General features: G+C 52.8%; 1 protein-coding gene and 1 pseudogene across 5 annotated transcripts in view, besides 6 other annotated features; one reads left to right on the top strand and one right to left on the bottom strand.

Annotated features, from left to right (window-relative positions):
• BCAS4 (breast carcinoma amplified sequence 4) overlaps positions 1 to 21,077 on the bottom strand; it is an 87,783-nt gene that overhangs the window by 25,608 nt on the left and 41,098 nt on the right. For 3 of the 5 annotated variants that reach the window (XM_011528887.3, NM_017843.4, NM_198799.4), the window contains exon 4: positions 15,169 to 15,303. The exons of 1 other annotated variant lie outside the window; for it this stretch is intronic. In XM_011528887.3, the coding sequence (XP_011527189.1) occupies positions 15,169 to 15,303 (135 nt within the window). Of the gene's footprint in view, positions 1 to 4,948; positions 5,128 to 15,168; positions 15,304 to 21,077 lie in introns of all 5 variants that reach the window. One more of the 5 variants, XM_011528886.3, reaches the window with a different exon arrangement.
• Positions 7,407 to 8,014: an enhancer, noted in NCBI's record as "H3K4me1 hESC enhancer chr20:49465592-49466199 (GRCh37/hg19 assembly coordinates)". NCBI's record gives its function as "activates a minimal SCP1, AML or CMV promoter by ChIP-STARR-seq in primed H9 embryonic stem cells {active_cell/tissue: H9 hESC(primed)}" and the evidence as "EXISTENCE:reporter gene assay evidence [ECO:0000049][PMID:30033119]".
• Positions 8,015 to 8,623: an enhancer, noted in NCBI's record as "H3K4me1 hESC enhancer chr20:49464983-49465591 (GRCh37/hg19 assembly coordinates)". NCBI's record gives its function as "activates a minimal SCP1, AML or CMV promoter by ChIP-STARR-seq in primed H9 embryonic stem cells {active_cell/tissue: H9 hESC(primed)}" and the evidence as "EXISTENCE:reporter gene assay evidence [ECO:0000049][PMID:30033119]".
• Positions 11,889 to 12,368: an enhancer, noted in NCBI's record as "active region_18106". NCBI's record gives its function as "activates an Ori minimal core promoter by ATAC-STARR-seq in GM12878 lymphoblastoid cells {active_cell/tissue: GM12878}" and the evidence as "EXISTENCE:reporter gene assay evidence [ECO:0000049][PMID:35858748]".
• TMSB4XP6 (TMSB4X pseudogene 6) lies at positions 16,245 to 16,850 on the top strand (annotated as a pseudogene).
• Positions 18,938 to 19,766: an enhancer, noted in NCBI's record as "H3K27ac-H3K4me1 hESC enhancer chr20:49453840-49454668 (GRCh37/hg19 assembly coordinates)". NCBI's record gives its function as "activates a minimal SCP1, AML or CMV promoter by ChIP-STARR-seq in primed H9 embryonic stem cells {active_cell/tissue: H9 hESC(primed)}" and the evidence as "EXISTENCE:reporter gene assay evidence [ECO:0000049][PMID:30033119]".
• Positions 19,090 to 19,139: a silencer, noted in NCBI's record as "silent region_13030". NCBI's record gives its function as "represses an Ori minimal core promoter by ATAC-STARR-seq in GM12878 lymphoblastoid cells {active_cell/tissue: GM12878}" and the evidence as "EXISTENCE:reporter gene assay evidence [ECO:0000049][PMID:35858748]".
• Positions 19,400 to 19,479: a silencer, noted in NCBI's record as "silent region_13029". NCBI's record gives its function as "represses an Ori minimal core promoter by ATAC-STARR-seq in GM12878 lymphoblastoid cells {active_cell/tissue: GM12878}" and the evidence as "EXISTENCE:reporter gene assay evidence [ECO:0000049][PMID:35858748]".

Below are 21,077 nucleotides of genomic sequence, written 5' to 3'. Positions count from 1 at the left end.
AAAATGCCATCATTAGCTTGTGAACAGCACAAACGTACAATGTTATAATGTTGCATTTTAAGTAATTAAATGCATTCAGTTTCAAAATATGAACATTTAAACTAAATCACAGTTACGGGAGCCAGTTCTGATACTGCTTCAATGTTTAACTTACAAGGAGGCTTGAAAATTACAAGTGCCAGAACATCTCTCAGCCACTAAGTGATGTGACTCATCAATCAATCAATCAGAGGGCCTGGCACACAGTAGGTGCTCAATAAATGACTGCTGGCCAGAGAGTGAGAGCTTATAGGAGGCCACATGTCAGGCACAAAGATGCTGGCAGGCAGCCCTGCAAGCAGCGCCCCCATGTCTCTCCAAGCACTGACCACTGTCATCTGAGCCCCTCCTGCCCCGTACCAATGCACACACTTCCAGGGGCACTGCCCAAGGCCTCTGGAGCCAGGTCTAGGCCAGCAAAGAGCTACCAGACACAAAAGGGACAAGGAGGCTGGAAGACTGTGATCACCAATCCTGATCAGGGTGGCACCTTGAAATTGGTGCTTGGAGATGCCCAGCCCCGAAACAGCCACCTCCCTGCTCCAGCTTCTCACTCCATTTAAAAACCAGCATCTCCCTCTCCGGCTGAGGTTCCCAGGTTAATTATTAGGATTCCCTAAGTAACAGGAACTTTGACCTTGACTTTGGGCCTGGCAGCATGACAAGGTGTGATGTTATCAGCCAGAACAGGCATCGGGATGAACTCACTGCCTAATGAGACACGGTTTATTTTCCCAGCAGAAAGTTGACCAGGAACAGAGCCAAGTACTTCCCAGGCTCCGTGGGCATCAAAGGGATTGCACCTTTTCCAGACCCAATCCACAGCTGCAGGCAGCAGGCAGGAGTCTGCACTGACAAACGACTCACCTCTGCACACTGCTTGATTCCAGAACCTGCGTTCTGACACCGATCACACCTGCCATCCCCTGCCGGGCCCAACCTCACTCAGGAATGCCTGCGACCCAGCAGCCTGTCGTGGGCTGTGCTGCGAATGCCACACATGGGCCAGGCTCTTCCCTCCCGCAGGCCTTTCCCAGCCTGTCCTCTGCAGCTTCCCTTGAGCTCGTTCCTCTTTTTCTCTGTGAGGCATGGAAGTGAGATGCATGCAGCCCACCTTGTTATTATCCGCTGATAGTTTCTGCCTGTGAGTTTTATTCTCCAGAGAGACCCTAAGCCCAGGCGGGGACCCAGGTCCTCCATTTATTCATCCTCAGGTTCATGGCTGTTGTTACTAACAGTTCCCACGTACCAAGTGTTGCTCTCTAGTGACACAGTCAAAAGCGTCCCTGGGGGGCCCTCCTGTGGGCGCACTTATGCCCTGATGTGGACATCAGGGCTCAGAGAAGGGCAATGGGTGCCCACGGCCCAGCCTGGGCCGGCCAGGCTGGTGGACGGCAGACAGACTCAGACCTGTCCTAGCCCTGCCGGCCCACACCCTTCCCCTTCCCCTTCCAGTCTGAGGAGGAAGGGGTCCCAGGAAGGTCTCTTGGAGGAGCCAGAGATGCAGGTGGAGGTGGGGCACGAAGGGGGATGCGAGGATTGTGGCCTGGGGGACAGGGGGCACAGTGAAGGTTTGTGATTGTGTAGGTGACACACAGAGAGACATGGGACAGAGACACAGGCAGGAGAGACGAGGAGATGGAGTGGCACAGATAGGGATGCAGAGACACATGGAGAGACGCAGAGACAAGCAAGATGAACGCAAGAGACATGGATCCAGGCAGTGACACAAAGATAGAGACAGACCAGAATACCAACAGAGATGGAGATGGGAAGAGAGACAGCAGGAAACAGAATTGTTGGGGATGCAGAGCCAGAGGCCGAAATCTCCACCAAGCAGGGCTGGGGGTGAGGGTGGGGCCTTGCCTGGGCCCCTCCCCCAGTGGTCAAGATGGAATGGAGGGCTGAAGATGGGAGGAAGTGGGAGAGGTGGGACCCAAGACACCCCTGGCGGGTGTGCCCAGGTGGGCGTGGCTAGCCCAACCCCTCATGACCCAGCATGGCTTGAGACACACCACGAACCCGGCCACCCCTGAGCACCGGCGTGCTCCTGGCATGAGCAGTGTGGAGGGGCTGACCCAGATGGGCAGCAGCTCAGAGGCGAGTGAGCCACTCCATTCAATTCCTGCAGGCGAGATCCATGGTGGCCGACATCAGCGCATGGCAGGAAGCAGGCGACAGGTTATTCTGTAAAAAGCAGCTTCAGGACTTGGCTTTGGCAGCCTTGAAGACGTCAGAGACACACCTACGGTGCCGCATGGTGGGGGGGGTTTGGAACAATCAGCCCCTCCAGAGAGAGCTGTCTACAAAAGCAATCCTCGCAGCCCACCCTAACTGAGCACCTACTATGTGCTAGCGCTGTGCCAAGTGCATAAGTGAATCCCTTCAGGCAGCCTGGAGCTCAGGACTGCAGGCTCTGGAGCCAGGCAGCCTGGGGACACCTCTTCTACCTCCTCCCGCTGACTGTGGGGAGAAGCTCCACCTCCTGCTGCCTCAGTTGCTCTTTATAAAATGGGGCCAATGATAGCAACTTGCCTCACTACACAGCAGCTGAGCAGGTGAGTAATGAGGTCAGCGCAGAGCGTCCGGGTGCCTGCCTCACGTGAATACTCAACAAAGCACGCCACTCTCCACAACTTATGCGCCTCAGCTGCTAGAACAGCGCCCACATCAGAATACTGCTACATAGAAGCTGCCAAATGGAAAGCAAATCATGCACGTTCAAATCCTCGACCTGAGGCCATGAGGCTGGAGAACTGCCACCCATTTCACAGAGGGGGAGGTTGAGACTCTCCCAAGGCCATGGAGCCGGCCAGCAGCACCACCAAGATACAAAACCCGGGACTGTTTGGCTCCAGAATTCCTGCTTTCATATATTTTTTAACTTTGTATTCTTTTCCATATTTATAAGGAAACTTTTTCATATTTATAGGAAACATATAAAAGCAATGAGGGGACTATGATGAGTCCCCACGTACCATCACCCAGTCTTGACAGCTGTCATTCTTCTGGGCCAGTGGTCCTTAACTCGGGGCAATTTTGCCCCCGGGGACAGCTGGCAATTTATGGACTCCTTTTTGGTTGTTACACTGCGGGGAGGGTACATCTAGCGAGTGAGGCTAGAGATGCGGCAAAACACCCACCAGTGCACAAAACATCCCCGAGTATACAAAACATCTACAGTGCACAAAACACCCCCCAGTACACAAAACACCTCCCAGTACACAAAACATCCCCAGTACACAAAACACCCTCCAGTACACAAAACACCCCCAGTACACAAAACACCCCCCAGTACACAAAACACCCCCCAGTACACAAAACACCCCCAGTACACAAAACACCCCCCAGTACACAAAATGGTCCCCACAGCAAAGAAGGACCTGGCCCCAAATGTCCACAGTGCTGAGGTTGTGAGGCCTGGTCTGCATCCTTGCTCTTGGTTATCCCCCTCCAAATGCTACAGGAACTGGATCCGCAATCTTAAGGGCGAATGGGGTTTGCATTATGATACGAGGAGCTGCGAGGGACAGAGTTTCTCTATGATGAGTGACCCTGAAGGTGACATTCCGATTAGAAAGGGGGGTGTTGGCTGGGTGAGGTGGCTTACACCTGTAATCCTTTTGGGAGGCTGAGGCAGGCAGATAACTTGAGGTCAAGAGTTCGAGACCAGCCTGGCTAACATGGCGAAACCCTGTCTCTACTAAAAATACAAAAATTAGCTGGGCATGGTGGTATGTGCCTGTAGTCCCAGCTACTTGGGAAGCTGAGGCAGGAGAATTGGTTGAACCCGGGAGGCGGAGGTTGCAGTGAGCTGAGATCACACCACTACACTCCAGCCAGGGTGACAGAGCAAGACTACGACTCAAAAAAAAAAAAAAAAAAAAAAATGAAAGGGGATGTTGTTAGCTGCATTCATTGACACTTCATATAAGACTAAGAAAACATCATGTGTTTGGCTCAAAAAGTAGGAGTGCCAGGTGGAAAGAATGTGGGGGGTGTAGAGGGATCCCACCAACTGCCTCCCTTGGCACTCACCCAGAACCCCTTTTGCAAAGTGAACCCAGACCAGCCGTGGGCCCTGGCACCCCTCACATCCTTGATGATGTCCCCCGCTGAGGAGACTCAAATGCCAGGCTGGGCAGGGAGAGGTGGGTACCCACCCACGAGTTCATGTCCTGGGTCCTCTGGGTGCTGCCCGGTCACTGCAGATCATTGCCAAGGCCCAGATGCAGGCCCCTGAACCAAGGGCCCTGAGGAGATTTATTTAAGCCTCTCAGACCTGTTTTCAAAATCAGTTGATTTCACAGAAAATCTGCATCCGCTCTTTTAAAATGTGCAAGGCCTCGGCCGGGTGCAGTGGTTCACACCTGTAATCCCAGCACTTTGGGAAACCAAGATGGGCGGATCACTTGGGGTCAGGAGTTCAAGACCGGCCTGGCTAACATGGCAAAACCTCATCTCTACTAAAAATACAAAAATTAGCCAGTCATGGTGGCGGGCACCTGTAGTCTCAGCTACTTAGGAGGCTGAGGCAGGAGAACTGCTTGAGCGTGGGAGGAAGAGGTTGCAGCGAGCTAAGATCAGGCCACCGCACTCCAGCCTGGGCAACAGAGTGTAACTATAAAAAAGAAAAAAGAAAACACACACACACACACACACAAAGCCACAAAAAGCGCAAGGCCTGGCCACTCTGGTCTCTGTTCCAGGCTGCAGCTGAGGGCCCCGCCTCCCCTGCCAGTCACAGCCCCAACCTGGCCTCTCTGCATCACTCAGGGCCTTGCCTGGTCTCAGTGAGTGTTTGAATTTCAGTTCCTGGGGTGTGAAGAATGTGGGACTCTGGAATCAAATGGGCCAGGCCCTGGCTTTGTTAAAATGTTCTAACTCCTCTGATCCTCGGTTTCCTCACCTGAAGAGTCGGAATGGAGACAGTTACTCCGTACCGGGTGGCCTGGGGATGAACCAAGTAGGGCAGGTAAGTGCTGCTTGTGGTGGCCCAAAGACAGCCCAGAACACTCCAGCAGCATCAGAACTCTCATCACCATGGCAAAGACAAGACACAGGCCCCACCCTTGAGCAGCTCTCAGGCTAGGGGAACAACAGGAGAAAATGCAGATGAGGCCATGTGCCCGCCAGGCAATGAACGAGGGTTTGGGTTAGGGGACCCCAGAGGAAGGCTGGCTGGGGGAACCCAGGCGGCTTCCCAGGGGTGGGACCGTGTGACTGGGGCTTTGAACAATAATGAACATTGCCAGGTGGGGAGCGGGAAGGGTTTTCCAGGGAGGGGAACCGGCATGTGCAAAGGCCGCAAACAATGTCCAACAACCCCAGGATGGCAGGGCTGGGCCCAGGGCACTGCTGCCACAGGGGATGCCCCTGACGGTGGTGCTGCTTTGAGAGAAGGGCATGTTGAGGGTCCCACCAACCAGGGCAAAGTTGGGGTGCTTCCACATAGGGCCCAACAAACAGCACCCCCCCAAAAATGAAAACTTCTTGTTGTCGGAAGGAACTTTCTCCCCTCTCATCCTCAAAATCTCAGCAAGAATGAAATGCCTGAAAAACACAATTTGATTCCCAAACCAGCCTGCCAGGAACCCTCCGTCCCCCTATAGCACTCCACCAAAGACCTTGAAGGAAACGAACCCGGGAGGTCCCTGGGAGCCGTGGGGAGGGGGCTGGTAGGTGGGGGCTGGGACCCGGCACCCCTCGGCCCTCCACAGTCGTGGTCCTCATATTTGCTATCTGCTCCTGCTGCATTTTTACTGCAAGGGCTGATGGGGGCAGCAGGAGAAGCAGTGGCTGGTTCAGGGCCGGGAGAAGGCGCCTCACAATTTCCTCTCCCTTCTTGTTTGTGTCTTACCCAGCCTCCACCACCAGATAAAGCTGAGCTGTCGGGCTCCCTCCCCGAGTCACCTCCTGCAGGGGGATTCTGCAGGGGAGAGACCCAGCACCCCCCACCACTTGCAGGGCTGGACAGGAAGGGGAGAGGAGGCAAGGGGCGGGAGCTGGGGGGGTCGCTGGGGAGGGGAGCACGCTGAGCCTGGCACTGACGACTCCTACAGGCAGCCCGGGCAGGGCAGCTCCGCCCATGGCCTCATTACCTCCCTTACAGCCTTGAAAATCCTCTCCAGCCTTCCAGTGCCTGGACACGCCCCCTAAGAAATCTGGGAGGCAGGCAAGAAGCCTTCAGAACATCTGCTGATGACTATTTATTGAACACCTACTATGTGCTCTACCGGGGGGGAGACTCAAACACACCAGCAGGCACCAAGAGTGAGCACGGTAGGCCAGATGCTGGCTGGGCAGGGACGCCGCTCAGGGGCCCACTCAAACCTCTGCTTCTTCATGAGAAGCCACAAGGGCAAAGTTGGGGTGCTTCCAGATAGGCCTCAACAAAGAGCAACCCCCCCAAATAAAAACTACTTGCTGTCAGAAGGAACTTCCTCCCCTCTCATCCTCAAAAATCTCACATGAAATTTGCTTTTTGGCAACTAACTCAAGTTAAATATATCCATATACCACGCTGGCCGAAGAGCAAGTGTGGTTGAGGCAGAACTAGCCCAAAGATCTCGAGTTTGCAGCCTTGGCAGTTGAAGTTTCAGTCCCTGCCCTTGGGAAGCTCACAGAGGGAGGTAGAGACACACCTGACCAGCTGACCAAGGTCAAAGCTGGATCAAATCCCAGCTCTGCCAGTTACACTGTGTGACTCTGAGCAAGTGAAGAGCCCCCTCTGAGCCTCAGGTCCTTTCTTTGTAAACTAGAATAATAGCATCTGCCTCTGGTGTTGTTACAGGAAATTGAGATGAGGCACAGAAAGCCCTTCGTATACAGTAGGGGCTCAATATAACTATTGGCTGTTAGTCATGTTGCTGTTTAGAGTTGAAGAGTTCCAACCAGGGCTGGTGCATAAAAGTGGAGAAGATGCCGCTCTACTTCTCCCTGGTCTCAAATCCTCCACAGTGGAGGGGACGAAGAGGTACAGGTCATCAGCCTAAAGTCCAGAGCTGGGGCTATGCTGGCTGCAGCCCATGGTACAACACAGTTTTATTATTTTTAATTTTTTAGAATAGAGACAGGGTCTCACTGTGTTGCCCAGGCTGGTCTCGAACTCCTGGGCTCAAGTGATCCTCCTGCCTTGGCCTTCCAAAGTGCTGGGATTACAGGTGTGAGCCACTGCTCCAGCCACAACATGTTTTTCCACACAGTATTCAACAGTTAGAAAAATACTGACTTTTTGACATGGGAAGATTCATAAAACAAAAAACAACAACAACAAAAAACCCTCCAAATGTCCAGCTTTCTCCCCCATATAGGAAAACCTGGTGACCACTGGCCGCCATTTATGCGAGGCTGGCGCCAGGCAAAGGTTCCACTCCTGTACACGAGGCATGGGGTCTGCAATTCGCCACAGTCCCCACCACTCCCTCCTGTCTCATGCCCAGAAGACTCACTCACTCATTGCTGTTACCAGATCACCCTGGGAGCGCTGCAACTGTGGGACCAGGTGACATCTCACACCCTGCCTGTCCTGGCTCTGCTTTGCTCCAAAGCCACCCTGGCTCCCCTCCAGCCCCTCTGCCCATCTTTCTTTCTGGGAAGGTCTCAGCAAGCACGGTCTCCCCAGGCCTCTGCTGCCCTGGTGGGGGTAGGGGTGAACAGGTGGGCCAGGCAGCCCCGAGTCCCAGCCAAGCTTCCCTCCCCCAGGGCAGCATCGCTCTGTGCAGGAGTCAGGAGTTGGCCCAGTCAGCTTTGCTGTCAGCCAAAGAGCTTCCCTGGGAAGCACCGTGTTCTTCTCCATCAGAAAAATTAATCAAAATGACACCTCGTGAACAAGATGTTTTGGCGGCAGAAAACAAACAGTGGTTTACAACAAATTAGTGAGGCTGCTCTGTGCCCCTGGGCACGTGAGCCAGGAGGAGGGCCGGCCTGGCATGGTCAGCAGGAAGCTGGCCCGGCCAAGGGGACACCTGCTGTGGCCTCTGTGCACTTCCGAGGTCCGCAGCCCGCAGGGCTCCAGCCCCATTTCACACTTTCACTTCCGCACATGCCTGAAACCATCTCCAGATGTGAGGGGCCCTCCGCAAGCAGGCGCTGGGCTGATGGCTGCCCCCTCTAGCAGGGTCTCAGGGACATTTGTCTGGAAGACCTGGGCCCCTTTCTGGAGACTCTTTTCTTTCCTCTGACCGGACAAGGGCCCTGAGACCTGGCAAGGGGAGGATTCCAGAGAGCTCAGGGCACAGCATTAGATATTTCCAGGGGAGGAAACATTCCAAACAACCAAACCTGCAGCCTGGAGGGCACCCACGTGCCCTGCTCAGCTCTGGTGTTCAAGTCCTAAGACGTCACAGACCCCGAATGCCAGCCTGAGCTCAGAGCAGAGAACGAGCCCTGGTTTCTTGCCAAGTGAAGCAAATTTGGCCAAGTCCCTCCCCTGCTACAAGAATCGCCCTTAGAATAGTGTTAAATTCCTCTGTGTGGCCTTGAGACCCTGCACAATCTGGTCCCTGCTACCTCCCAGACCTTCTCTCTCTCCACTCTGCCCTGGCTCATGCAGGCAGCCCACGCTGGACTAGCAATTTCTCAAGCACCAAGCTCAGGTGTGTTGCAGAGATTCTGCAATGGCAGTTCCCTTGGCCGGGAGCGCTCTTTCTTCTGACTCCACACCCACACTTACTCATCATCTAGCTCTCAGCTTCCACAGCCCCTCCTCAGAGGCCACTCCTGACCCCTCAGACCTGGGATCCCTTTTAATTTTTTGTACATTTTATTTTGCAGAGACAGGGTCTCACTCTGTCACCCAGGCTGGAGTGCAGTGGTGCAATCTCGACTCACTGCAGCCTTGAACTCCTGGGCTCAAGCAATCTTCCCACCCCAGCCTCCCAAGTAGCTGGGACCACAGGCACGCACTACCATGCCCAGCTAAAGGGCCCCCTTTAGAAACAGCCATCTAACTGAATTTTCTGTTTTTTTTTGTTGTTGTTGCTATTGTTTGAGACAGAGTCTTGCTCTGTTTCCCAGGATGGAGAGCAGTGGTACGATTATGGCTCACTGCAGCCTTGACCTCCTGTGCTCAAGTGATCCTTCCACCTCCTGAGTAGCTGGGAATACAGGCATGCACCACCACCCCTGGCAAAGTTTTGTATTTTTTTTGGTAGAGATGGGGTTTCGCATATTGCCCAGGCTGGTCTGGAACTCCTGGGCTCAAGTGACCCACCCACCTAGGCCTCCCAAAGTGCTGGGATTACAGGCGTGAGCCACCGTGTCCCACCTGTAACTGAATTTTCTTTGAATTTGGTCACTGTCTGTATTCTTGCACCAGACACAAGCTCCCTGAAGAGATCACAGCTCTCTACCAAGGCAATATGTGATGGAAAGAAGAACGTGGATTCATATCCTCATGTCCAACTGTGTGATCCTGGGTAAGTTACTTACCCTCTCTATGCCTCAGTTTCCTCAGCTGTAAGATGGAGATAGAAATAGCACCTCCCTTGTGGGATGTTATGAGGATTGACAAGCTGAAAACAGTGCCTGGCACAGCAGGGCTGGCTCTGTCAGCTGCCCCGTGATTCCCGCTCACCGCTGAGCACTAAGTGTTGAGTCTGTCCTGGACCACTCCATTCCTCACAAGCAAAGCTGGCTTTTCAACCGGGTGCAGCGGCTCACACCTATAATCCCGACACTTTGGGAGGCCGAGGTGGGTGGATCACTTGAGGTCAGGAGTTCGAGACCAACTTGGCCAATGTGTCGAAACTCCGTCTCTACTAAAAATACAAAAATTAGCCAGGCATTGTGGTGCGCGCCTGTAATCCCAGCTACTCGGGAGGCTGAGGCAGGAGAATCGCTTGACCCCAGGAAGCGGAGGTTGCAGTGAGCTGAGATCACTCTACCGGCTGGCTTTTCAGGTGGCCGACGCTCTTCCGCTCCATGCTCGGAATCCCTCCTGAGAGTTCCGGAGCTTTCCTCCTCTGCTTTAGCGTGGGCCCTCATCATTTTCCATCAAATCCAAACAGTTTTCTAGCAAGCAAAGCCTCTCATGAACCTGCCCGTGCCGGCTCACTGACTCAGTCAGACTCTCTGAGGCTTAATTTTTTTTTGAACTTTAAAGATATTATTTTAAGCTGGGCGTCGTGGGTCACGCCTGTAATCCCAGCACTTTGGGAGGCCGAGGTGGGCAGATCACCTGAAGTCAGGAGTTCGAGACCAGCCTGGCCAACATGGCAAAACCCTGTCTCTACTAAAAATACAAAAATTAGCCTGGCGTGGTGGTGGGTGCATGTAATCCCAGCTACTCAGGAGGCTGAGGCAGGAGAATCGCTTGAACCCGAGAGGCGGAGGTTGCAGTGAGCCAAGATTGCACCACTGCACTCCAGCCTGTGCGACAGAGTGAGACTGTCTCAAAAAAAAAAAAAAAAAAAAAAAAAAGAGAGAGAGACTGAACGTGACCAGATCATGCACCCTCTTGCAGGCCATGACAAGGAGTTTGGATTTTATTCTGAGGTCACTGAGAAGCCATCTCGGAACAATTCAAAATAACGTTAAGATCTCAAAAAGGTATTATTTTAATAATATCTAGTAAATTAGAGACGTGGTCTCCCTATGTAGTTCCCAGCTCAAGTGATCCTCCCACCCTGGCCTCCCAAAGTGCTGGGATTATGGGTGGAAGCCACTGTGCCTGGCTGTCTCTGAGGCTTACAAAGGCTAAGAGACTTGCCCATGGTCACACAGCTAAGACATGTCACAGAAGGGGCTTAGCTACAATAAAAGAGAGGGGCAATTCTTATTAAAACCTCACAATGTTATAACGATCAATATAAAAGCATAACTAAAAACTTTTCGTTTATATAGTGCAGCATGAAAATGTGGACTTTTGTGCCATGAAATACATGTGTTGTAGCATGGTCATGCGTACATTTTTGTGGCTGGGTGCCAAGGGCCTGGGGCACAGGCTGGCTCCGTCTGTGGAGCAAATGCCTCTTTCTCAGGCAGCTCAAAGGTAGGGCTGAGAGGCCAGGATCCAGTCGGAAAGCTGGCTGAGGGGGATCGCTAGTATCCACAGGTCACTTCCTGCACCGGACCCCTCGGGCCAGCCCAGGCCACAGGCAATGTCCACACCAGCACCAAGTCACCTGGGCAGCGGGCAGCCTGCCCTCTCTGGGGGCTGCGCCTCTGGTGAGTGGTGTGGCTCCTCCCATGGGGGCAGAAGCCCATGCCAGCATTCCCGTGGGGCCACCCAATATCCTTGTCCCACCTCAGCCCTCTCCACTCCATGGACCCTTTGGAGGCAGCACGGGTGGGTGAGGAACAGACAGCCCAGGGGCGCCACATGGCCAGGTCACCCTGACTGGCTGCTGCGTCTGGATGGTCACTGTTCGGGCCAGCCTGGGGTCGGGGGAGGCCTCAAACACCTGCCTCAGGGGGGCAGTGGGGTCCTGGGGGAGAGACCAGGAGAGAAACCAAAGCTCTCCGAGCCCCCGGCTGCCTGGGCCTCTCAGACCTATGCCGGGCATTGGAACAGGCCCCGGGAGAAGGGCTTGGTGGAGATCCAAGCCCTTGGTGGAGACTGGAATGTCAGCCTCTGAGGGTGATGGCCCTTCAGGGTCAAGGAAAGGAGGTGTCCACCCTGGGGGAGGAGGCGCTGAGGGGAACTGACTACAGATGGCACAAAATCCCAGCTTTGAAATAATCAAGATGGAAGACACTGAGAATGCCTGGGCACCCTACGAGGACTCTCACCTCCCAGAGAGCAGGTCCGGCGGTCAGGGAGGGCATAGAATGGACCAATGGGGTGCAGGGCACCAGCTCTGGGCCCAGACATCACAAGTTCAAATCCCAGCTCCACCATTTTCTGGGTGGGCAAGCAACTTAACCCCTCAGTGACTCGGTTTCCTCATCTGTAAAACAGGAACAATGACCACACCCTCTTCACAGGGTGGGGTGTGAGGCGACTACAGAGTCGGCCCCAACACCAGCGGTGATGATCATCATTCTGCAAGGGCCCCTCCAGCTCACACCCTGGAGCAGCCACAGCCCTGGAGCCTTCAGGTCTGCACACACATACGCACACACTAGGCTGCACCACCTCCCCCAGACAAAGCCCTTGTGGGGCCAAGAACAACACACTGGGGTTGCTGAATGACTCACCCACCCCTGGCCAGGACGCGCTTCCTGGAACAAGTCACTGCAGGTAGGTCTAGGGGGCTCTCCAAGGCTTAGCAAGGCCCAGTGTGGCGGAGAGGAGAGGGTGCAGGTCCCAGCATGCCCCAGCCACACCCCGGGGGGGGATGCCACATCCCTGCAGCAGGAGTGCTGGGGGGACCTCAGTTTCACACCCCACAGGCCTGGATTCCAAACCCAGTAGTGACTCTGGATAGGTGATTCTCCATCTCCAAGCCTCAGTCTCTGCCTCTGTAAATGGGAACACTAGCACCAACCTCATCGGGATGACTGTGCAGACTGCAAGAAGTGTATTAAATGACAGGCAGGACCCACTGTTAGGATACTTGGGTTCTAACAGGACATGGGCAGCCAAGGTCCTGTGTCCTTTCTGCCCCCCATGTGTCTTAAATTTGTTTTTTGTTTTTTTTAATTTTCAGAGATAGGGTCTTGTTCTGTTGTCCAGGCTAGAGTGTAGTGAGTGGCATGATCATGGTTCATTGCAGTCTCAAACTCCTAGGCTCAAGTGATCCTCCTACCTCAGCCTCCTGAGTAGCTAGGGCCACAGGTGCATGCCATCACACTTGGATACTTTTTTGTAGAGACAAGGTCTTGCTTTGTTGCCAAGGCTGGTCTTGAACTCAAGCAATCCTCCCACCTTGGCCCCCCAAAGTGGTGGGATTATAGCCATGAGCTACCACATCTGGCCCCTAATGTGCTTTTTTTTGTGAGACAGGGCCTCACTCTGTTACCTAGGCTGAGTGCAGTCATGCGATCTCGGCTCACCGAAACCTCCACCTCCCAGGCTAGGCTCAAGTGATCCACCCACCTCAGCCTCCTGAGTAACTGAGACCACAGGGATGCGCCACCATGCCCAGCTAACTTTTCTATTTTTTGTATAAATGGGGTTTTGCCATGTTGCCCAGGCTGGTCTTGAACTCCTGGGCTCAAGTGATCCACATGCCTTGGCCTCCCAAAGTGCTGGTATTACAAGCATAAGCCACCGTGCCCGGCCCCAAATGTGCTTTTAAAGCCGTCAGTGGGAAATGTCACTCGGGAATGGTCACCATAAGTTGAGGGAGAGGACAAAGGATGCAGTTCATGACTTCATTGTCTTTGGAAAGCAAAGAAATGGAGTTTGTCTGAAGAGGGGCAATCCCAGAGGGCTTCTCACAGGAGATGTCTTTAACTTGGTCTCTGAAGGAGCAAGAGGAGTTCCTAGACCATGAGATCTGGGAGGCCACTGTCCAGCTGTTACAAGCTTGGGCAAAACACTCACCTGGAAGCAGGCAGGTGAACAGCACATGCCTCAGGCAGGTGAACAGCACATGCCTCAGGCAGGTACAATGAGGCCAGGAGCCTGTGACTGGAAAGCACATGCCCTATCAGGCATTTCAAGTCACAATGTTTAAATACATTGCCTGGCCAAATAGAATGAGTTGACATGGGCCAAATTCTGCCCACGGGCAGAACCCCTGACACTTTCTGAAGTTTCATTTCCTCACCTGTTAAATGGAGATACTGTTAGTACCCAGCACACAAGATGGCTGGGAAAGATAAATGAATTACTGCATATAAAATGCCTAACGCAGAGCCTGGAACCTTGTAAGCACTCAATAAGGCCAGGCATGGTAGCTCATGCCTGTAATCTCAGCACTTTGGGAAGTCAAGGCAGGAGGATCGCTGAAGTCCAAGAGATGGAGACCAGCCTGGGCAGCAAAGCGAGCCTCTGTCTCTACAAAAAGAAAAATTAGCCAGGTGTGATGGTGCGTGCCTGCAGTCCCAACTACTTGGGAGGCTAAGGTGGGAGGATCACTTGAGCCCAGGAGTTCCAGGCTGCGATGAGCTAGGATCACACCTGCATTCCAGTCTGGGTGACAGAATGAGATCCTATCTCAAAAACAAAAAGCACTCACTAAATGGGCTGCTGTGATAAAGTGGAGATAAGGTGTGGACAGGTAGGAACAGTGGAGACAGGGCAGTAGAGGGGATACCTGCAGGCAGAGCCCAAGGAGCCACAAGAGGCCCCGCTAGGTGACACCTTTCCTGTGAAGGGGGCAAGTCACCAGAAACAGGCGCTCCAGGCCCGTGGCCTCAGACAAGTCCCCTTATCTCCTTCCCCGAGCCTCCGTCTTCTCACCTATAAACTGAGGGTGATTGGCCAGGCACGGTGGCTCATGCCTGTAATCCCAGCACTTTGGGAGGCCAAGGCAGGTGGATCACCTGAGGTCAGGACTTCGAGACCAGCCTGGCCAACATGGTGAAACCCCATCTCTACTAAAAATACAAAAATTAGCTGGGCATGGTGACGTGCACCTGTAATCCCAGCTACCTGGGAGGCTGAGGTAGGAGAATCACTTGAACCCAGGAGGCCAAAGGTTGCAGTGAGCTGAGATCACGCCACTGCACTCCAGCCTGGGTGACAGAGTGAGACCCCATTTCAAAACAAGACAAAAAGGACACATGATCCTTCCTTCCTTGCGGGGCCACGGAGAGGATCCCAGGAAGACAGAGGAGAGATGAGGAAGAGAACAGCCTTTGCAGGCCACAAAGAGCCATATGCAGGAGGGACGCCCGTCCCCCTTCCCCGGCTTGTTGGGCCAGCTTGAGGCTGACTCCTGCCTCAGGAAGGGCAACCTGGCCGGAATTCTAGATGTCATCCTGGGCACTGTCCCTAAGTGTGCAAGGATGGGCAGGAGGGCGGGAGCTGTTTCTGCTCACCACAGTAACCTCAGATGGCACTCAGCAAACAGTAGGCGCCCAATAAATGGTACATGAGCACACGAACCGTCACAGCCCAGGGCTCACAGGGGACAGAGAAAGGCTGAGGTGCCTGGCCGCCTGTACCCGTTTCCTGTCTGCAGAAGTGAAATGTGCCCCCCTGAACTCTGCTTCCTGCATGCTCCTCCCCACGCTGGGGTCTGCGGAGCGAAGGGGGAGAGGCCCTCCCCTCACTTCTCGGGGCAGGATACTCACGTTCCTGAAGGAGGGGAGCCCTGCGGATCCCAGCCACCTCCGCAGGGCCTGAGGGAAGGCCCCATGGTCCCGCTCAGCCTGAAGCACGTCTGCTTCCAGGAAGGCGACGTGGTGTCCAACCATCTTGACGAAGGCCTGAGGGACACGGAGAAGCCATGATGCCGCATCTGTGCAGGCTGGAGCCCATTCCTGGCCACACTCCCTGGGCTGGTGGGGACTCCAGGCCTTTCATCACTGCGACCAGCCTCCCTCCAATGGGGCTCCCTGCAAGGCAGCAGGGCCTGCTTAGCTGGAGGGGCACCTGCAGAAACCCTGACAACGGTCACAGCTCCCGCTGGTGGCCTCTTGCTTTTTCCCCATAGGGACCCTGTTCTTAGCCTCCATTTTAGAGGGGAGGGAAATCAAGGCTCAGAGAGGCTGGGTCACCTGCTCAAAGTCACAAAGTCAGGAAGTGGCAGGGGCAGGGGCGGGGGTCTCAGGGCACATTCATCAGATTTCAAAGCCTTTTTTGTTAAAAGTTGATTTTATAGAAATAGCCCAAATGCTTATTTATTTATTTGTACTTTTCATCTACGTTAAGGACACACAATTGCTCATTTTAATAGTGGATGTGCTGTATATTCGAACTCAGAAGCCACCAAGGGCCTGGCAGGAAACAAGCAGGTAAAGGGGGCCTAATGGGAAGCAGGGTCAACCAGAAAGCTGAGTCCAGGCCCACAGGGACCACTCAGCTCCAGGCCTCAAGTGCAGAGCTGCCAGTTTCAAGAAGAAAAAGGGGTGCGGTGGCTCACGCCTGTAATCCCAGCACTTTGGGAGGCTGAGGCGGGTAGATCACCTGAGGTCAGGAGTTCAAGACCAGCCTGGCCAACATGGTGAAACTGCGTCTCTGCTAAAAATACAAAAAGTAGCCGGACATGGTGGCACATGCCCGTAATCCCAGCTACTCGGGAGGCTGAGACAGGAAAATTACTTGAACCCGGGAGGCGGAGGTTGCAGTGAGCTGAGATCGCGCCATTGCAGTCCAGCCTGCGCGACAAGAGTGAAACTCCGTCTCAAAAAAATAAATAAAATTGGACAACTCAGTGGTGGCCACTACGCAGACCAGACTTCGCTCGTTCTCGCGTGCCTCGCTCCGCTTCTCCTCCGTAACCATGTCTGACAAATCCGATATGGCTGAGATCGAGAAATTCGATAAGTCGAAACTGAAGAAGACAGAGACGCAAGAGAAAAATCCACTGCCTTCCAAAGAAACGATTGAACAGGAGAAGCAAGCAGGCGAATCGTAATGAGGCGTGTGCCGTCAATATGCACTGTACATTCCACAAGCATTGCCTTCTTATTTTACTTCTTTTAGCTGTTTAACTCTGTAAGATGCAAAGAGGTTGGATCAAGTTTAAATGACTGTGCTGCCCCTTTCACATCAAAGAACTACTGACAACGAAGGCCGCGACTGCCTCTCCCATCTGTCTATCTGGCTGGCAGGGAAGGAAAGAACTTGCATGTTGGTGAAGGAAGAAGTGGGGTGGGACAACAGTGAAATCTAAAGTAAAACCAAGCTGGCCCAAGGTGTCCTGCAGGCTGTAATGCAGTTTAATCAGAGTGCCATTTTTTTCTTGTTGTTCAAATGATTTTAATTATTGGAATGCACAATTTTTTAAATATGCAAATAAAAAGTTTAAAAACTTAAAAATAAATAAAATTAAAATAAATAAAAAAAGAATTCTGGCTGGGCATGGTACCTCATGACTGTAATCTCAATACTTTGGGAGGCTGAAGCCAGGGAGGGTCACTTGAGGCCAGGAATTTAAGACCAGCCTGGGCAACATGGTAAAACCCCATCTCTACAAAAAATTGAAAAATTAGCCAGGCATGGTGGCATGTGCCTGTAGTTCCAGCTACTCAGGATGCTGGGGCAGGAGGATCACTTGAGCCCAGGAGTTCAAGGCTGCAGTGAGCTATGATCAGACTCTCTGGATTAGAATCCAAATTCTACCTCTCAACAGTTACTTGTGTGCCTTTTGGCAAGTTACTTAACTTCTATCAGCCTCCATTTTATTATCTGAAAAATGGGGATTAAAAACAGTATCAACCTTGGCCAGGTGGAATAGCTCTCATGCCTATAATCCCAGCACTTTGGGAGGCCAAGGCAGGCTGATCACTTGAGGCCAGGAGTTTGAGACCAGCCTGGCCAGCATGGCGAAACCCCATCTCTATTAAAAATACAAAAAAAATTAGCCGAGTGTGGTGGTGCATGCCTGTATTCCCAGCTACTCGGGAGACTAAGGTACGAGAATTACTTGAACCCGGGAGGCAGAGGTTGCAGTGAGCTGAGATCATGACACTGCATTCCAGCCTGGGGGACAGGGCAAGCTCCATTTCAAAAAACAAAAACACTAACCTTATTCAACAAGTAGAGTGCTTAGTACATATTAAGAGCCCATCAAATCTCAGACACTATCATTTTAAAAAGGACATTCAGATTTTACGAAAAATCTTGTTTTATTCAATGTTAGCAATAAATCTACACTTTAAAAAAAAATACTGTTCAGGCCCAGTAAAATGTAACTCACCCATTTGTGACCTCTGGTGTCTGTCTTTTCATACTGTCTCTGTGCTCAGTACATGTATGGGCATGTGTTAGTGTGCGTATGCACGTGTGTACATGGCTAAAGGCAGCAGAGGTGGGGACTACAGTGCCATCTCAGACAAGGCAGCACCTCTGTGGCCTGCTTTGTTCCATTAGTAAAATAGAAAAGATTTTTCTCATACCAGGAACAGGAATGAGGACACCTCAGTGCTGGCTGCTTCTGGGAAAGCCTCTCCTTCAATAATACCATGAAATGCAGTCCTCCCAAGACCTGTCAGGCCTCCTGCCATCTAGCCCTACCTTCCCTCCTCCCTCCACGTGCTTCCCTTTGGTTCCTTTAAAGTGCCCAGCCTCACCCCACAGGGCCTCTGCACCTCCACTCCCTGCCTATAGCGCCCTGCTCTCCTTTCTCCATGGGGTGTGGCCCTGCTTGTGTGTGTGGGTGTTTGTTTGTTTGTTTTGTTTTTTTTAAGATGGAGTCTCACTCTGTCGCCCAGGCTGGAGTGCAATAGCGTGATCTTGGCCCGCTGCAACCTCTGCCTCCCGAGTTCAAGCAATTCTCCTGCCTTAGCCTCCTGAGTAGCTGGGATTACAGGCAAGCACCACCACGTCCAGCTAATTTTGTATTTTTAGTAGAGACGGAGTTTCTCTGTGTTGGTCAGGCTGGTCTCGAACTCCCAATCTCAGGTGACCCACCCGCCTCAGCCTCCCAAACTGCTGGGATTACAGGTGTGAGGCACTACACCCGTTCTAACTTTGTATTTTTAATAAAGACGGTGTTTCACCATGTTGGCCAGGCTGGCCTCGAACTCCCGATCCCAGGTGTTCCACCTGACTCAGCCTCCCAAAGTGCTGGGATTACAGGGGTGAGCCACTGCGCCGAGTCTGTCTTTCTGGCTTCCATCTAACTGTCCCTGAGCACCTGATCTCATATAGCCCCGGCAGGCACTCTGGAGCCACCCAGATTCCTGGTCTTCACAGCCCTCATTGCCCTCTGAAATTCTTATCTATTCATGGTCCACGCCCTTTAGAATGTGGGTTCTAAAACAGAAGCTGCTGAGTCAGCACTGCTCACAGGCCAAGACCAGAGCCTGGTCCAGGAGACAGGGCCCATATGGGTGGCGGATGCATAAATGCACACGTGCATGAATGAATGAATGAGTGAATGAGTGAGTGAGTGTATCCTTAGCAAAACGACATTGGGTGAACCCAAGATGGAGGCTTCTCTCGTGCTGCTGCCACCCTGGGGTTCTGGCTGTAGCAGGGCTGAAAGGCTGAATCAGCCACGTCATGTGTGTGTGTGTGTGTGTGTGTATGTGCAGATGTGTGCGTGTGTGTGTGTGTAGAGGTGGGTGGGTGGGAAATGGGCCAGGAAGCATATGCCAAGGGCTCTAGCCTCAGAGGCCTGGCTCAGCCAGCACATATGCTTGTAAAACTCAGACGAAAGTGCCGACTCCCCTTCCTCCAGCCGATTCCAATTTTACGCTCCCAGCGTTAATACCAATCTGGTGGAGAGTGTGAGGCGAAGCTGAGGAATGTGTACTCGCGATGTCTGAACTGTCTCCAAAATGCCTGCCAGTGAGGCCAGCCCAGCCAAGCCGCAGCCAGAGAGGCTGAAACCTGGGCCAGGGCAGCTCCGACTCCGGGGAGAGGAGACGCACACGTCCACCCACACAGCCAGGATGTGGTGGCTGCAGGTGAGCGAGAGGGCCCACCGCTAATCTTAGCCACCCTGAGGGCTGGGTGCAGGGAGCATGACTGATTTCTGCATATTTTCCTCTTCAATAAAGATATACTACTTTTATAATCAGCTGAGAGGGAGGGAAGGAAAGCCTCATTGTTTAAAAATATATTGGCAAGTACTGAGGAATTTGAACACATTTTCCCCCCTGGACACAGGGGTCTTGCCATGTTGCCCAGGCTGATCTTGAACTCCTGCGCTCAAGTGATCCTCCCACTTCGGCCTCCCAAATGCTGGGATTACAGGCCGAGCCACTATGCCTGGAGAATTTGAACACTTCCACCAAATAATTCCCAGCTTCAGAGCATGGGTCCTGTCCAGAAAGGTGTGTTGACATCCAGGAGGGGGGAACATAAACTTTGAAACCCCAGTTCTACCACTGCCCACCTGTGTGAACTCAGGAGCGTCACTTCTCATCTCTGTGCCTCGGCGGCTTTTTCTGTAAAATGAGACTAATAGCAGGACCTTGCTCCTGGGGTTGCTGTGGAGTTGAAGTGAGTTCTTATGTGTAAAGCACTCATAGTCCCTGGCTTGTAGTAGGCATTCAAAAGTACTAGTTTTTGTTGGCTGGGCATGGTGGCTCATGCCTGTAATCTTGGCACTTTGAGAGGCCAAAGTGGGCAGATTGCTTGACCCAGGAGTTCAAGATAAGCCTGAGCAACATGGCAAAATTCCATCTCTACAGAAAATACAAAAAATTAGCTGGGCGTGGTGGCACACACCTGTAGTCCCAGCTATTCGAGAGGCTGAGGTGAGAGGATCGGTTGAGGCCAGGAAGTGTGACTGCACCACTGCACTCCAGCCTGGATGACAGAGCGAGAACTTGTCTCAAAAAAAAGTTAGTTTTTATTAATACAACTGATAAAGGGTCAAGTTCTGGCCTGAGAGGTCACCTCATGGTTTCCAAGCTCTCACCTGGCAGGTCACACTGATTCTGAGGGCAGGGTGGACTTACACTCTGTGGAAGCCACTGACACTCTAGTCACCCCAGGACCCCCGGCTGGCAGGGCAGAACAGTGACTGTCCATCCTGGACAAATTATCCCTCTCTCAGCCTTGTGGACAACTACAACCACCATAATAGTTTGTCCTTGCTGAGCATCTGCAAGATGGCAGGTGCGGGTCTCATTTAATCCTCACAATGACTCTGAGGGGTAGATGGCACATTCCTTTCCTGGAGATGGGGGTCTTCCTTGAAACTGACTCTAAGGGGGTTGGTGAATTACCAAAGGGGCAGATCAGAGCCCCAGCTCTCTGGCTCTGGAGTCCACCTGCCCCATACAATGTCAGGTTCTCAGCAGGTCCCTCAGTTTTATTGTTTGATGTCACACACTTGAGCTAATAGGAAATACATCACCAGCCAGGCGCAGTGGCTCACGCCGGTAATCCCACCACTTTGGGAGGCTGAAGCGGGCAGATCACGAGGTCAGGAGTTCGGGACCAGCCTGACTAACATGGTGAAACTCCGTCTCTACTAAAACTACAAAAGTTAGCCATGTGTGGTGGCACGCGCCTGTAATCCCAGCTACTCAGGAGGCTGAGGCAGGAGAATCACTTGAACGTGGGAGGCAGAGGTTGCAGT

This window comes from Homo sapiens, chromosome 20, assembly GCF_000001405.40.
Source record: "Homo sapiens chromosome 20, GRCh38.p14 Primary Assembly".
In the NCBI taxonomy this organism is placed as follows: Eukaryota; Metazoa; Chordata; class Mammalia; order Primates; family Hominidae; genus Homo; species Homo sapiens.
This window is presented reverse-complemented; position numbering and strand designations above follow the sequence as displayed.